Source organism: Homo sapiens, chromosome 10, assembly GCF_000001405.40.
Source record: "Homo sapiens chromosome 10, GRCh38.p14 Primary Assembly".
Lineage (NCBI taxonomy): Eukaryota > Metazoa > Chordata > Mammalia > Primates > Hominidae > Homo > Homo sapiens.
Window position 1 is genome coordinate 110,879,341 of NC_000010.11, and position 17,542 is coordinate 110,896,882.

General features: G+C 33.5%; 1 protein-coding gene across 3 annotated transcripts in view; it reads left to right on the top strand.

Moving 5' to 3' along the window:
* The window catches only part of PDCD4 (programmed cell death 4), a 28,079-nt gene that overhangs the window by 7,413 nt on the left and 3,124 nt on the right, over window positions 1-17,542 (top strand). For 2 of the 3 annotated variants that reach the window (NM_145341.4, NM_014456.5), the window contains 9 exons: window positions 1,893-2,195; window positions 3,663-3,757; window positions 5,913-6,026; window positions 8,325-8,546; window positions 10,193-10,290; window positions 11,216-11,330; window positions 14,751-14,858; window positions 15,072-15,182; window positions 16,608-16,747. In NM_145341.4, coding sequence (NP_663314.1) covers window positions 1,893-2,195; window positions 3,663-3,757; window positions 5,913-6,026; window positions 8,325-8,546; window positions 10,193-10,290; window positions 11,216-11,330; window positions 14,751-14,858; window positions 15,072-15,182; window positions 16,608-16,747 — 1,306 coding nt within the window. The remainder of the gene's footprint in view (window positions 1-1,892; window positions 2,196-3,662; window positions 3,758-5,912; window positions 6,027-8,324; window positions 8,547-10,192; window positions 10,291-11,215; window positions 11,331-14,750; window positions 14,859-15,071; window positions 15,183-16,607; window positions 16,748-17,542) is intronic. The other variant, NM_001199492.2, reaches the window with a different exon arrangement.

The following is a 17,542-nucleotide window of genomic DNA, read 5'->3' on the forward strand; positions in this document are numbered from 1 at the left end:
GATCATAAAGGACCTTAAGTTACAAGGTAAAGAGTTTACATTTTGGCTGGGTGCGGTGGCTCACGCCTGTAATCCCAGCACTTTGGGAGGCCGACGTAGGTGGATCACGAGGTCAGGAGATCAAGACCATCCTGGCTAACACGGTGACCCCATCTGTACTAAAAACACAAAAAAATTAGCCAGGCGTAGTGGCAGGCATCTGTAGTCCCAGCTGGGGCAGGAGAATGGCGTGAACCCGGGAGGCAGAGCTTGCAGTGAGCTGAGATTGCACCACTGCACTCCAGCCTGGGTGACAGAGCGACACGCTGTCTCAAAAAAAAAAAAAAAAAAGTTTACATTTTTTGTGACATAATGGGACTACTTTTAAAGGATCTTCAGTGAGGGCATGCTTGAGAAAATCAGTCTTCATTCAGTATAGTTTGAAGACTGGAGGCAGGGAGACTACTTATGAGACTAGTGAAATAATTTGGCTCTAATTGATGATTTTGTTTAAAACAAAACATTCCTACCTTCCTAAGTATGTCAAGAATTGTAAAGATTTAAACACATGTATGCTTTTTATAGGTTGGTGAAAATTTTTGGTTTCAACATGTCTTAAAACATATTAAAGCCCATGCACATAGACCTGACATGTTATAATTATCTTTAGGCATATAGAAAATGATTTGAGTGATTCAGCTCTGATTTGCGTTAACAATAATGAACAAAACTGTGGCCCAGTGGTAGCTAATTCAGTAGCCTTTCTGACTTAAAGAGCTTTCAGGGCAAAGCCAAGTGCCTCCACTTGATCTCCATGGAATTTGAGTATGAAGGACACTCTGCTAGGTGATGGGGATACAAAGAAGGACATACAGTCTAGTTGTGGTTTCTCCTTTGAAGCTTATGACTTAGTTGGAAGAAAAAGACTGCTATATAAAAAGAAAGTGATTTCCATGACGTGTTGAATGAATAGTATGTGAGCAATTAGTGTTCCTGTACCTAGAGTTGTAAGGGAAGTTTTAATGCAGGGAGTAAGACTTGGGCTATATCCTAAAGGATTTTGATAACTGAAAATAACAGTGAGGGCGACATTCTACTGGGAACTCCAGTATGTTGATCTCTTTCAGAAGAATCAATTTTATATAGGCTGGAAGATTTACAGGATGGTAAGTAATAGGAGAAAAGTTTAGGGAGATGAATTAGGACTTTGAGATGTTGGCTTTTCTTGAAAGCAAACTTTGTCTTGAGGCAGTAAAGCATCAGCAGTTCAGCTCAACAATCATATGCGATTATTTGCTAAATGCCTTTCATTCTCTTTTGGATTACTAATAGTTCTTAAGTGTTTATACCTAGTTATGGGACGTTTGGCAAATCATTTAAACATTCTCAGCCTTAGTTTCCTTATCTGTCTTCAATGTTATAATAATTAACTGCCAAACTTGTGCATAAATAAATGATAGAGTGTCTAGCACAGTGCCTAATAGTAGGCATTCTATAAATATTAGTTTATCTCTCTTCTCAAGATGCTTTGTCTTTTCTTAATATCTCCAATTAGCTCATAAAAGTCTAAGGGTTTTATATTTGGTGTTGCTGTTAGCATAGATTTTATGATCTAAACGTGAAATAACATGCTTCTTTTGGTAAAAACAAACAAATTTGGTTTGTTTTTGGTAAGAAACAAACATGCTTTGTTAAAATTCAGTGCCTTGGTTTACTTTCCTTGATAATGTGAAAAGTAATCTTATTTAGTTGTTTATTAGATTGAAGTAGATGAAATTCCCAATATGTGACTGTAATTTACCTACAAAAATGGTAATGTCATGTGATTCAACCTAATCTAACTTACCACTATATCTATAAAACAGTAGATACTTAAAATACTTAGAATTTTTTTCTTCATTTTTCTCTTTAAGATCCTGATAACTTAAGTGACTCTCTCTTTTCCGGTGATGAAGAAAATGCTGGGACTGAGGAAATAAAGAATGAAATAAATGGAAATTGGATTTCAGCATCCTCCATTAACGAAGCTAGAATTAATGCCAAGGCAAAAAGGCGACTAAGGAAAAACTCATCCCGGGACTCTGGCAGAGGCGATTCGGTCAGCGACAGTGGGAGTGACGCCCTTAGAAGTGGATTAACTGTGCCAACCAGTCCAAAGGGAAGGTTGCTGGATAGGCGATCCAGATCTGGGAAAGGAAGGGGACTACCAAAGAAAGGTTGGTATATATCATGTCCAACAAATGGAAGATAAACAAGTGGAAAAAAATTGTCTGGTTCTTGTACTACACTTTCCTTGTTCTAGGAATGAGAGAGATTCAAAAAGTGAAAATGTAAGGCTTTACAGTTTGTATATATTTTTACTTAGTAATAATGTGAGAACCATCTCACTTTTTCTTTAGGTTGATGTTTTTTCTTGTTTGAGTAGATTTAATTTTCTTGAGCAGAATGTTAACGATTTATTTCCAGCAAAATATACACTGATGTTTTTCACTGTTACGAGTTTTACGTATATTCTCTAAGTTTGAAAGGAGTCAGAAATCCATCATACTTATTTAATATAATTATGTCCATTACTACTACTAATAAATATACATTTGATTGATAACGTCTAGATCTGAATTTTAATGTTTTCCTAGATCTCACGGTGAGTTCTCTTTAGCTCTTTATTTTGGGTTCTGTAGTAGATTGGTCTGTTTCACTGCTGTTTCTCTAGTACCCGAAATAGTGACTAGTACACTGTAGGCAAATATTTGTTGAATAAGAGTTTTCTGACGATTTCATCACCTTCTGAATGGTGGGAACTTCAATTTATAGCCTAGGTTTCTTGTAAAATGTTTTTGTGATCTGTCAAAAATTAGTTTTGTTAAATGCCTCTGCAATCATGTTTTATATCAAAATGAAACCTGGTTGTCAGATTCTGTTTTGGTCTGATGGCAAGGATATACTTGGTACAAAATAAAAACCTCCAAAAACAGAAATGTTGGTGACATTGTAAAGGTTCTTTAAAAAATAGTGTAGTACATTAGTCCTTAAAACATTTCAGTAAGTTGATGTAGAAAAGCAACTTTGAAAATTGGAATTGTTAAGCTTCTTTTGGTTGTTTTGTATTTAGAAAACAGAATTTTCAGGGCTGTTAATGCTTAAAAGCAGTTAGAATTCTTTTCTATATTTATAACATATTGCTAGTTGTATGGTTTAATGTGTACTTTAATATTTAAAGAGTACTGTATTTGACCTTAAAATATTTGATGGTGGTTACTGTCCTTTTTTGTTAAATAATTTTTCCCTTGTTGAGTTTTCTATGCTAAGCTTTACCGGCCCAGAATGTTTCTTTTTGTCTTAGTCTCAAAGAAATGTCGAATAAAATTTAGAGCTCAGCTGCAATATCATCTCCTTTGAGGTCCTCAATATAGCTATTTTTTTATCTTTATTTGTTTTTGCTTTTATTTTAAAGCATCTGCTTTTTTAGTTTTTAACTTCATAAGCTATTTTAACTTAATGTTTTTGGAAATATTGAAAGAGTGGTCTGAACAAAAACCAGTAGGGGAAGAAAACTGGAAAAAAACTAACACGTTAAATACAATTTTTTTTTAGCTGTTGTTTAACATCGGAACATTTTATTTTAGATTTCAACAAATTGATGAATTTTGTGTTTTTTCTTTCTCAATGCTAAACTTTTTCAGGTGGTGCAGGAGGCAAAGGTGTCTGGGGTACACCTGGACAGGTGTATGATGTGGAGGAGGTGGATGTGAAAGATCCTAACTATGATGATGACCAGGTATCAGTGCTTTGCTTTTTCATAATATTTAAAATGTTTATGAACTTTTTTGACTTCATGTTTGTAGTTTACTCATACATGTGTCAAATCATATGTATAAATGTTTTGGATTAGGAAACCAAGTAAACTGACAGTAATACATGCATAACTTTCACTTGGTTTCTGTAGTGAGTCAAAAATAGCTCTTTAGAAATTCACTTAGGATTATTAAGTTGTCCATTTTTCAGTAAATTCTGTTAATATAGTTTGTTTCTATAGTAATGATAATTGAGAATATCTTCTTTTGAATATTATGAGTTACAGATATTAGATTCCTTTTAAATATTACTGTTTAGAATGGTAACTATATAATACATTTTGTTTTGGGGACATGCGCATCTTTCTTTTAGGGATAATGCTGAAAATGTAAATTTTTAATAGATTGTGAAGTGAATTTTTTATTTTTTTTAATGGAAAAAATTTAAAGTAGAATAGTATAATCTGCTTGTACTCCTCTCTTAGCTTTACAAACTTAAATAATTACAAACTCATAGGCAGTCTTGTTTAATTCCATTTACTCTCCGTCTTCTATTGGCCCCTTTGCCCCACCCTGTTTTGGATTATTTTGAAGCAAATCCCAAATGTTTTGATTATGTTTTTTGAAAATTTGTCTTTGCACAAGGTGAGACACGGTGATGGAAATTTTAGACAGGAAAACGTTAAGAGTATGTGTTAGGTTGTTTTTATTGTGTGTTGTATGTATGTATTTAAGTGTTTTAACTAATAGATATGGAAATATTTCTAAGAGAACATGAAAAATATGAAACTAGTAGGATTCAAGTACTGTAGAATCTTTGCTAAAAATGTATTAATCTTTCAAGTATATGTTTTTAGGCTGAAGCCAGTCACAAGTTGTAAATATAGCAGTCCCCTCTTATCCGTGGTTTCACTTTCCGCAGTTTCAGTTACCCATGGTCCAATGTGGTTTGAAAATATTGAGTGGAAACTTTCAGAAGTAATTCATAAGTTTTAAATTGCATGCCATTCTGAGTAGTGTGATGAGATCTCCTGCTGTCCAGCTTCATCCACCTCATCCTGCCCAGGATGTGAGCCATTCCGTTGTCCAGCGTGTATCCGCAATGTATACACTACTCGTGCATTCGTCACATGGTAGCTGTCTAGGTTATCGGATTGAGAAAACAGTATTTATTGGGTTCGGTACTATCTGTGGTTTAAGGCATCCTCGGACGGGGCTTGGAACATACCCCTTGTAGATAAGGGGGCACTACATTTCAGAGCTTTTTTAGCATGGGGAGAGAGGAATGGTTTGATGATGGATGTTAATTTTCTTTTTGAAATTTCAATTGAACAGTGCTTTTTTCCTTAGAGATTTTTTTTCTGTCACTACAACATTGATCTTTGTGTTATACTTTTTATTATAATAATGCTAATCGTGAAGGCTTTGGTTCCTGCTTCATTTTTTTTTAAAGTGAAATTTTAATTAAAACACCATTTATGATAGGAAGCCATCATGAAACTTTTTGATTACTAAAAGATTGGTTTTGAGAGAGACATAAAAATTTTGAGAGAAAAAATTAACAGAAGACATGGGGGTTGGGAGCAAATTATGTATTTGCTGTGGTTAATGATTCTAATCTATATATTGGCTTATTGTATTCTGATTTTGTAAAAGAGCAGTGACATATAAATTCTACTATTTTTATTATGATTTATTATTATTATTTTTTAGCTTTGTTGTCCAGGCTGGAGTGCAGTGATGAATTATAGCTCACTGCAGCCTCGAACTCTTGGGCTTAAGAGATCCTTCTGCCTCAGCTTCCTGAGTAGCTAGGACTACAGGGGCAAGCTACCATGTCTGGCTAATTTTTAAAACTTTTTTGTAGAGACAGGGTCTTGCTATGTTTCCCAGGCTAGTATTGAACTCCAGGCCTCAAGTGAACCTCCCGCCTTTGCCTCCCAAAGTGTTGGGATTATAGGTATGAGTCTCCTTGCCTGGCCTAGATTCTATTTTTATATGCGATCAATGTATGTAGCATGTCTTTGTCTTGTGCTAAGTGGGGATTATTAACCACTTAGAATATAAAATTGTACAACAATTTCACTTGTTTATTTGCATTTTGTTTTTTATAACTCTTACTCCCTTTTCCCCTCAAAGGAGAACTGTGTTTATGAAACTGTAGTTTTGCCTTTGGATGAAAGGGCATTTGAGAAGACTTTAACACCAATCATACAGGAATATTTTGAGCATGGAGATACTAATGAAGTTGCGGTAGGTTTAAAGTTGCAAGTATAATTTATTTAATATAGGAGAGAAGACATCTTTTATAAGCAAAATACATCTACAATGATCTTGGGTCACTGAATAAATTTAATCATTTTCTTTTGCATAAGTGAATTTCTAAGAAATGGAATAAAATCTCATTACATTAAAACAGTTATATATTTGGGATGTGATGAGAGCTGTGTGCCATTTTGTTCTCTGAAAAATGACACAATATTTTTATAATTTTTATAATTATAATTTGTAATGTATATGAATTTATAAAATCTGTTTTTATAATTTATAAAATATAATTTTAGCAGTTTGAGGGCACTTCTAGACGCCCCCCGAAACCTCTTCAGGGATCTCAGTTAAGAATGCCTGACATAGTTTCATTTTTTTGACATTTATTTCACGTATGTTCAGAAGTAGGATAAAATCTTTTTGTACTTTGTCCAAAAAAAACCCCACAAATAATAAAGATTTGAAAAAGAATATACAGAAGCCATGAGAATAATCATGATTTGTTCATAAAGTAAATCTAGGATAAAATAAAACCATTGGTCTAGTTAGGATTATCAAATTAAAGTAATACAATTGTAACTCTTTAGAAGACTTTGATCATTTAGATTCTTAAAATTTAGACTGGACTTTTATGATTTGTCTGATACTGTGAGGTTTGATATCTTTGGATTTGTAGGATTTGAATATAAGACAAATATTTGTTCAGTGCATACCATCTGGAGGAATTTGTAATAGGTGATTCTTGCCCTTTTGAAGCCCAGTCAAGTGAAAGAAATGATATGTAAACAGATTATTAAAATACGTGAAACGTTCTGTTATAGAGGAAAAGTTTCCATGAGTCCTATGAGGGCAGGGACTGTTGAAATCTTGTTAATCTACCTAGCATAAGATCAATTGTATACTATGTATCTGTTAACTGAGTACTGTTTGGAAAGCATAAAATAGAGAGTAATAGTAGAGATGATTCTCTGCTGTCTGAAGGATGTTGAGGAGTTCGCCAGTTAAGATAGTTTTCCAGGAAAGAGGAGTATTGTGTTTGAGGGTAGTGGATTAGTTGTTAAAGTGCGGTCAAGGAAGATGAAATGCAGTCAGTGAGAAGAGATTACTAACAAGGACACCAGTTACGTGGCTGTGAAAATAGTTTTGGCACTCTCTTAGTAGTATATCATGATTTAAAGATTCTAAGAAAACTTTCATTAAAGAGGAGGGCACTCTAACTGAATTAGAACTTAGCTTCTAGAGTCAGACTGCCTTTATTCCACTTTCAGTTTGGCTACTCCAGCTGTGTGCCCTCTCTCCTTTGAGTATGATAGGTGTGATAATTTAATACTCAAAGGGCTATTTGAGTATTAAATAAGATAATATAACTAAAGAGGCTATTATAATGCCTGATACATTAGTCAATAAGTATTAGCTGCAGCTATTATATTTCTAAAAGGAAATTTTAAATTTACCCCAGAATCTTAAACCAATAATCCCATTTAAAAACAGTTGTTTAAGATCTCATTTTAAACTTGATACAAAAGTGTGAAGTGAATTTTTATTTCAAGAGAAGTCTTTGAAGAAAAGTAGAATATAAATAGCTTATGATAATCTAAAATGAATTTTTCCACAAATTCTCATAAAACAATATTTATAGTAATAATAGATTGTAAGGCAGGTTAGTTAACTCCTAATACCAATCTCAGCAATATTATGTAGTTTAATGAACTAGCCATGAGCTGCATAATGACGTTTCCATGACAGACTGCATATATACCTTTGGTCTCATATAATACTCTTTTTACTGTATCTTTTCTGTGTTTAGATAGGTAACCACTGTGTTAACAGTTGTCTACAGTATTCAGTATAGTAACATACTATACAGGTTTGTAGCCCGGGAGCAATAGGTTATACCATGTAGCCTACATGTAGGCTCTGCCATTTAGGTTTGTGTAAGTACACTCTATAATGATTGCACACTGATGAAATCACCTAAATGGTGAATTTCTCAGAATGTATCTGTGTCGTGACCCATGACAGTATTTTAAAGGTATTTCACATTTTTGAATTTAGCGATGTTAAGGCAGTTAAAGCTTGACAAAGTGGATCAATGTCTGATTTATGCACAGGGAAAGGTGTGTTTATCCTATCTTCTAAAACATGACTGGGTCTTTTGATTATTTCCAAAGAGTGAGACGTAGAGATATATAGATAAAAGCTCAATTTTTCAAAAATAAAATTTTATTGAACTATAGGTAGTGATACACTTTTAAAATGTTTTTAAATTATTTTTTTGAACAGGAAATGTTAAGAGATTTAAATCTTGGTGAAATGAAAAGTGGAGTACCAGTGTTGGCAGTATCCTTAGCATTGGAGGGGAAGGCTAGTCATAGAGAGATGACATCTAAGCTTCTTTCTGACCTTTGTGGGACAGTAATGAGCACAACTGATGTGGAAAAATCATTTGATAAATTGTTGAAAGATCTACCTGAATTAGCACTGGATACTCCTAGAGCACCACAGGTTTGTATGATTCTTCTTTTTGTTCATTCCCTCCCACTACTATATTCCTAATTGTGGAAATAATGTATACTCCTAGGAAATTTTAGTAGATGGAAGGGGATGGCCAACATTTCCTACGACACCGAAATATTCCGCTAGCATTTTGATGTATTTTTTCCTAGTTCTTTTGTTTTTTAAACATGGTCTTCATCATGCTATAAATTTAATGTTATCTTGTACTTTTCCCCTATGATCTGCATAGTTTTTAGGTAATTTTTTTTTTTTTGCCATATATATAGTCTTTGTTATATGTAGTTGTTTTATTAGCTAAGATTTTTAAAAAATGTAGGTTATGATTGAATGCTTCACTAATGTTTATTATAAGAAGTCATAAATAAGACTCTTCCCTTTTGTAGCTTTGAAAATGTGAAATTGTTGCTATTGTCAAAAGTTTTTAATCAAGGTAAAATCACTTTACTTAAAACATTAATTTAGAAATAGAATATAGGCATGTCAGTTCCTAAATGCTGTTTCTGTTAAACTTAATGACAGACAATACTCGGTATGAGATATTAAGTGGTGATTCTAATGCAGACATTTTTTCCTTTTATACCAATACACATACTTTAAGAAAATGATTACATAAGTTTATATTTATTGTAGAATTTTTGAAAAATAAAAGCCAGAAAGAAGAAAGGCCAGCAAAAACTGCTACTGGTGTTAAGTTTTCCATTCTCCTTTCTGTGGGTATATATCAATGTATGGCTTCTATAAATCCTTAATTTTTTAAAATTAAAAAAATGGAATCATACCATTATGCTATTTTATAAACTTGATTTTTCTCATACCATAAAATATGGTAAATATCTTTCCCTGTGGCCACATAGTATACCATTTTATGTGTATACCATTTAACCATACCTTTATTTTTGGACACCAATTTCCAGTTTTTATAATAAGTAATGCTGTGAACATACTTTCAACTATTTCTATACAACTTTTTTTCTCCACAAGATAAATTCCTTTGATTAGTTTTTGAGAGAACCTAGTCCTTTTTTTTTGTTTTGTTTTAAGAAGAGAGGACGTCACTTGACCTTAAATCATTCGTTTAACCCCAGCACTTTGGGAGGCCGAGGCAGGCGGATCACGAGGTCAGGAGTTCGAGACCAGCCTGGCCAAGATGGTGACACCCCGTCTCTACTAGAAATACAAAAATTAGCCAGGTGTGCGCCTGTAGTCCCAGCCACTCGGGAGGCTGAGGGAGAAGAATCACTTGAACCTGGGAGGTGGAGGTTGCAGTGAACTGAGATCGTGCCACTGCACTCCAGCCTGGGCGACAGAGCGAGACTCTGTCTCAAAAAAAAAAAAAAAAAAAAAAAATTTGATCATATGCTATGTATTCAGGCAGTGTGCAAGGTGTTAGGGATTCATTAGTGAGCAAAACAGATGTGGCCCCCACTCTGGCACTTAACTTGAAGGTTAAGATGTGGGAGTGTATGCCAGGCATAACAGGTACTACATAGGTTTTTTTTTAAAAAAAAATTCCAGCATCTTTTAGGTACTGACTGTGTACTTCAGCTAATCTTCATCATTTATGTATTTAGAAATTGTGACCTATAAAAGTTATTTAACTTTTTTTATAGCTCTTTTTTTTTTCCTTTTTACAGTTGGTGGGCCAGTTTATTGCTAGAGCTGTTGGAGATGGAATTTTATGTAATACCTATATTGATAGTTACAAAGGAACTGTAGATTGTGTGCAGGCTAGGTAAGTAAATCACTTTTCCTACTTAGAATTTCAAAATAGGGGAAAATTCTACAGGATCCTATTGAAATGACACTTGTGTTAATCAGACACTCTGTACATCTGTTTGTCACTTCTCTATATTCTCCACTGTTAAAATGGAGAGACTATTGGCATGATATACCAGGAAGAGGACAGTACTATAATGGAAAAGTTCTGGAGTTTAGCTAAATCATTAATTACCTTCATGTCAAGCCACTCTTCTTTGGGCCTCAGTTTCTTTATTTATGAAACAAAACCATTGGACAGATCTTTAAGTTCTGTTTTCAGGTTCTAGCATTGTGTAATAGTTTAATATTCTAATAAGATGGATAACCTTAAGAAGAGAGGCCTGATTTATAGTTTTATTTTGTATTTATCTACTGTAGAAATCTTAGTCAGAAAGTATCTTTTTCACTCTTGTGATTTAGTATAATTAATATGATATTTGGTATAACTAAATGTGATATTTGGGAGTTATGCTATTTGATTTTTCTTAACTTCTTGGAGACTTGGACTCAGCCATGTCTTAGTTTTCCTCAGGTCTATATATTAACTTAATTTTCTAGGGCTACTTCACATCATAGTGGAATGGTGTCCCTGGGTAGGAAGGCATGGATCTAGGTGAAAGTTAATTATATGTGAAGTGTTTCTTCTCAGTGTAGATCAGTTATTTTGTAATGTGTTTTGATTTTTCTTGAATGAGAAATGAAATAGAGCATGAGAATATTAACATGAGGATCAACTTCTTTTTGCTCCTTTTTGTTTTGAAAAAGTGTTTTGAATTTTATTTTGCTTTTATGTTATGTGAAAGATTTAGGGCATATAGGATTTTGTCAGCTTTATCCCTAATTTAGTAAACTTTAGGTATGTCCAGCTATCAAACTTAAATTTTTTTCTTTCTCTGTAGAGCTGCTCTGGATAAGGCTACCGTGCTTCTGAGTATGTCTAAAGGTGGAAAGCGTAAAGATAGTGTGTGGGGCTCTGGAGGTGGGCAGCAATCTGTCAATCACCTTGTTAAAGAGGTAATGATTGGGTATTGTTTTTAACTTAATTTATATGTATTCCTCTGAGTGAAATAAATTGTGGCTACTAGCTGGTATTTTTATGGACAAAAATTAAGTTCGGTCTTACAGCTGCAATTGGAAAATGAAATAATTTTTTTAATATGTGGCTTTATAACCTTTTATTATAAATTATATGATTAAAAAATGAGTCTGTTAAAATGGCTTTCATGAATAATTATAAGCAAGCCATCTATGAACTTCAAAGGAATGCCTGAAATCTTTTTCTTATAGTATTATTTAATAATTTTCAAATGCTGTTGAAATGAGATTTTCTGTGTTTTAGCTATTCAATAAATACGCTTTTATATGAGCAATTTAAAACTAGATAGTCTTAAATAATGAGTTATGAATTATGAGCACTAGAGCAGATCAGAGTGTTAGATTTTTGTGAGGACATTCACTACCCATATGCATGTTTTAAAAGAAAATTGATTGTAATCCCAGCACTTTGAGAGGCTGAGGCGGGTGGATTGCTTGAGGCCAGGAGTTTGAGACCAGCCTGGTCAACATGGTGAAACCCCGTTTCTACTAAAAATACATAATAATTAGCCAGGCATGGTGGTGCGCACCTGTAATCCCAGCTACTCGGGAGGCTGAGGCACCAGTATTGCTTGAACCCAGGAGGAGGAGGTTGCAGTGAGCTGAGATCACACCACTGCACTCCAGCATGGGTGACAGAGCAAGACTCTGTCTCAAAAAAAAAAAAAAAAAAAAGCGATTTATTGCATTAAAATGCCAGATTTATTCCCTATGGATTTTTTTTTTTTCTGGCTGCAATGTGGTGTCCTATAACAAGAAACCAAAAAACAGAAAAAACTCCTTATCTGCAGATCTCTTTAAGAAAAGGCATGCAACTAGAAGATTTGTAGTTCATGTGCTTCTGATTTTTGAGTATAATCTTTTCATGTAACTACAATTTTGATTTTTAGTAAGTCTTTTAATGAGGTGTGTGTGTGTGTTTGTGTATGTGTATCTAGCTTAAGTGTTAAGGAGTTCAAATTGTAGTTAGAGCCTTGACTGTTTTTGCTTTTATATATGTTAAAATAGATGAGTCAGTGTTTGTAATGTCGTGATTGCAGTATCTGTTTTTTAAAAATTAAACAATTATTAGAAAAATTGAGGTATAAAAATAGTCAAGATGCCAGGGCAATTAGGCAGGAAAGATAAAAGGCATCCAGATTGGAAAGGAGGAGATAAAACTAGTTGTATTCCCAGATAACATGATCTGTATACAGAAAATTTGAATGAATCCACATTTTTTAACTCCCCAAAACTGAAACCAAACTATTAACTAAAAAATGAGTTCAGAAAGGTTGCAAGATAAAAGATCAGTACACAAAATTCAATTCTCTATACAGTAGAAATGAATGATCTGAAATGCAATTATTGCATTTGTGATAGCATCAAAAATAAAATACTTAGGAATAAATTTAACAAGACAAATGCAAGTCTTGTACACTGAAAACTGCAAAACAGGTTGAAAGAAATTAAGGAAGACCTAAATAAATAGAATGATATCCCATGGTTATGGATGAGGATACTTAATATTGTTAAGATGGTAATACTCTCCAAAATTAATATTTTTGGAAACTGGACAAGCTGTTTTATGGTGTGTGAATTCTCTCTCAATAAAGAAAATTGACAAGATAAAAATGGAAATAAAACTGCCAGTATATGAGTTTGAGGTTGACATTATTTGGATATTTGCTTACATGGAAGGGTTGGATCAAAGAAGACTTTTAGAAATGTATAAATGTATTTGTAATTTATCATTCTCAGAAGTGCATGGAATTTGATGGGGGATATTTTTAATACTTCTAAAGTTATGTAACAAATGTTAAAAGTAAGTAATATAATTTGAATAACAAGTACAGTCACGTGCCACATTATGATGTTTTGGTCAGTGATGGACTGTGTGGGATGGTGGTGGTCCCATAAGGTTATAACGGAGCTGAAAAATTCCTATCGTTGAGTGATATGGAGGCAGTTGTAATGTTGTAGCACAGTTACTTTATTTTTTCATAAATTTAATGTAGCCTAAGTATACAGTGTTTATAAAGTGCATAGCCAGTGTATGGGTAATGTCTTAGGCCTTTACATTCACTAACCACTCACTCATTGAATCACCCAGAGTAACTTCCATCCTGAAAGCTCTATTCATATTGAGTGCTCTATACAGGTGTATCATTTTAAAAATCATTTACACTGTTTTTTATTGTACCTTTTCTATGTTTAGATACACAAATACCATTGTGTTCCAATTGCCTATATTATTCAATATAGTGACCTGCTGTACAGATTTGTAGCCTAGGAGCAATAGGCTATACCATATAGCACTGGTGTGTAGTAGGCTATACCATCTAGGTTTTTGTGAGTATACTCTATGATGTTTGCACCATGACAGAGTCATCTAACACACTTTTCAGAATGTATCCCTGTTAAACGATGCATGACTATGCATTAGTTTGTAATTGTAAAAATACTCAAATGCTATGCTTTAAATATTTACTTACATGTAAATATTTAAATACATATTTACTTACATGTAAATATTATATCCTAAAGCATGACAGCAATTAAATTTTACTTTACCTTTTATGAAAATATCTTATAGAAGTTGGAAGGATACTTAAATATGATTTTTTAAATTCAGTCAGCCAACATTCAACATTCAGGCAACTAGATATGTGCCCACCAAATACAAAGGGGATTTTAACAAATAACATATAGGGAAAAATATTCCTAGTTGAAACTCTTGTGCTGAAAAAGTTCTCCCACTTTTTTGAGATGTTCAAGTTTGAGCGGGAAAATCAAGACTTGTCTCTTTAGCTACAGCTGGAAACTGAATTATTGAACATTTTAGATAATGAGTTTCAAATTCTCAGTTGTAGAGAAAAGAGAAACTATGTGGAAATCTTTGCCCTCTCTAGTAATGCCCCATTATCATCTCTCATTTTTTGGCTCTCAGTGCACTATTAAGAGCGTCTTGATAGAAGTGAAATATTTTGTGCCACTTTATGTTGAAACTTTGTTAGTGCCCTCTAGTGGTATTTAAAATCCCTTATTTTTAGTGGCACACTAGAGCATTATGGTCACAACCCAGGACGCATGCATTATAAACCTATTCGTAGTTCTCAGTGATTCAGACACACTGAAGCATTGCATTTGAATCATAATTATGAACCATTTAAAAATTGGGGATTTATTTTTTAATTATGAAAAATTCTGTTGTAATAGTACCACATCCAATGTATATGTTATTAGCTGTTTGTTACCCACTATTTCATTATATTGGAATGAGGGCAAATAATCCTGTAGGCAAGCACGATATTTTAAAAGTTAGGAATTCTGACACATCTCAACTTTTAAATCTAATAGATTGATATGCTGCTGAAAGAATATTTACTCTCTGGAGACATATCTGAAGCTGAACATTGCCTTAAGGAACTGGAAGTACCTCATTTTCACCATGAGCTTGTATATGAAGTAAGATTACCTTGCCATGTCAAAGATAATTATTAAGTGTTCCTTTTTGTACTGTAGCGACTTATGCTTTTTAAATAATGTACATCCTTTTTTTAATATCAAAGGAGGAAGTGGTTATTAAATTTCTACGATTACAGAAGGCATCTAGGTGCATTTTAGGAGCAGTTTCATATATGAATTAACCAAAAATTCACTCATTGATTCAATTTTTAGGCTATTATAATGGTTTTAGAGTCAACTGGAGAAAGTACATTTAAGATGATTTTGGATTTATTAAAGTCCCTTTGGAAGTCTTCTACCATTACTGTAGACCAAATGAAAAGAGTAAGTATAACATTGTTTTTGAACAACTTGTAGGATTATGTCTTAAATATATGATTGAATACAGATTATGAATTGTCAGTGAAATTTTCTTTAGGTATGTTTAGTGTTAATATGCCTATATGTTTTGTTTTTTCTTAATGGTAATGTTTGAGGTTTGAACCTTTTGCAACCATTTTTTGGAAAGTAACACTGCAGTGTTTTTTTTTTTTTTTTTACCTACTTTAACAAATGTAATTATGTATTCTACCTCAAGGGTTCGGTTTCTAAGATGTGACAATTTCTATTTTATATCTAGAGAGAAACATGAACCTTTAACTTTTAACAAATTATAAAGTACTTTTTTCCTATTAAAAATTTTATGATTATTGTTTTAAATGTTTGTGAGGTTTTTGTTTGCCTTGTATTTTTTTAAAAAGGTAGTAAGTGTAAATAGAGAAGTAGATGGGAAAGGAGTTTGCCCAATGTCTGATGTCTGCTTACAGCTCTTTTAAGAGAACAGTATTTAAAAAAAATTTTTTAGCTATGTAACCAGTTTTACTTATTTTTTTATTTATATTTTTAATTTTAGATATCAGAGGGGTATATGTACAGGTTTGTTAGATGGGTGTTTTGTGTGATGCTGAGGTTTGGGCTTCTAATTAATGATCCTGTCCCTCAGGTAGTAAATATAGTACCTGATAGGTAATTTTTCAACTCTTGTCCTCTTTCCTACCTCCCCACTTTTGAAATTCCCAATGTTTATTGTTCCCATCTTCATGTCTGTGTGTACCCAATGTTTAGCTCTCACTTACAAGTGAGACCATGCATTATTTGGTTTTATGTTTGTGATAATTTTCTTAGGATAATGGCCTCCAGCTGCATCCACGTTGCTGCAAAGGACATGATTTTGTTCTTTTTTATGGCTATGTAGCATTCCATGGGCGTATATGTACCACATTTTCTTTGTCTAATCCACCATTGATGGGCACTTGGATTGATGCCATGTCTTTGCTGTTGTGAATAGTACCCGATAAATATACAAATGCAGGTGTCATTTTGGTAGAATGATTTATTTTCCTTTGGGTATACACCCAGTAATGGGATTGTCGGGTTGAACGGTAATTCTATGTTGAGTTCTTTGAGAAATCTCCGAACCACTTTCTACAGGGGCTGAACTAATTTGCATTCCCACCAACAGCGTATAAACCTTCCCTTTTCTCCTCAACCTTGCCAATGTCTGTTATTTCCTGACTCTAATAAAAGAGAACAGTTGTAAAACACTGTAACAAATCTACTTTCTGTGCTTCTCACGATTCAAATCTGACTTCAGTTTAACCATTTGAATATTTGGCCTTAAATACAAATTGATGACATAGTGATGGATTGTGTTTTATGACATTTATTTTATATGGGCTAACAATTCTGCATGTAATTTCATTGTTGTAGGGTTATGAGAGAATTTACAATGAAATTCCGGACATTAATCTGGATGTCCCACATTCATACTCTGTGCTGGAGCGGTTTGTAGAAGAATGTTTTCAGGCTGGAATAATTTCCAAACAACTCAGAGATCTTTGTCCTTCAAGGTACTTTATTTAAATACTACTTTCTCAATGTAAAATAGTGGATGAGATCTTTGGGAAGGTTAACTGCTAAGTTAGTTTATCGTTCCCTGAAGTCACTGAAGAACGTGACTCTTGTGAGTTCATGGAGAAAGAAGGGCGAAGCTTGTTTTAGCCCCCTTGTAAATCTGTACAGGACTGCCTCATGAAGTCCTAGTTTATTTGAAAGAAACTAATCTTGTGGAGCAGGTCCTTTGTTGTAAGTAGTTTCAGTGTTTAGAGTAGGTATTATCAGTGATAAGATGAGAAAATTGAGGCTTAGGGAGGTATAATGTACTTTTTCTAAGGTCACATGGCTAGTACATGGTAGAAGCCAAGTATGAATTCAGGACTTTTCTGGCTTCAAAGATCTAGGCTCTTACCTGTACTGGATGTGGCTTCCTTGACTTCTTTACAGGTTGGAGAATTAGGGCTAATTGGATGTTCTCACTAGAAAGTGTGTGTGTTGGGGGGTGTGTGGAGGATGTTCTCACTGGAAAGTGTATGTGTGTGGGTGATTTTCCTTGGAGCTATTAATATTTTTGCTACTAGTTGGTAAGTTTTTTTGTTGTTGTTAAAGCTAATAATGAAGCTTATAATGTAATAATATAAATGTTTAGTAATAGCTAAACTTTTTGCTTGTGTGGGTCAGTTTTATATAATCTTAAGTTCTTATAATTTTTTATCTGGAAAATTTCTTAAGCTTTGATATTTTTAAGTGCATTGTAAGAATTAAAAGTCAGAAAAATATTTCCTGGTAGGGGCCTTTGCTTTAGAATT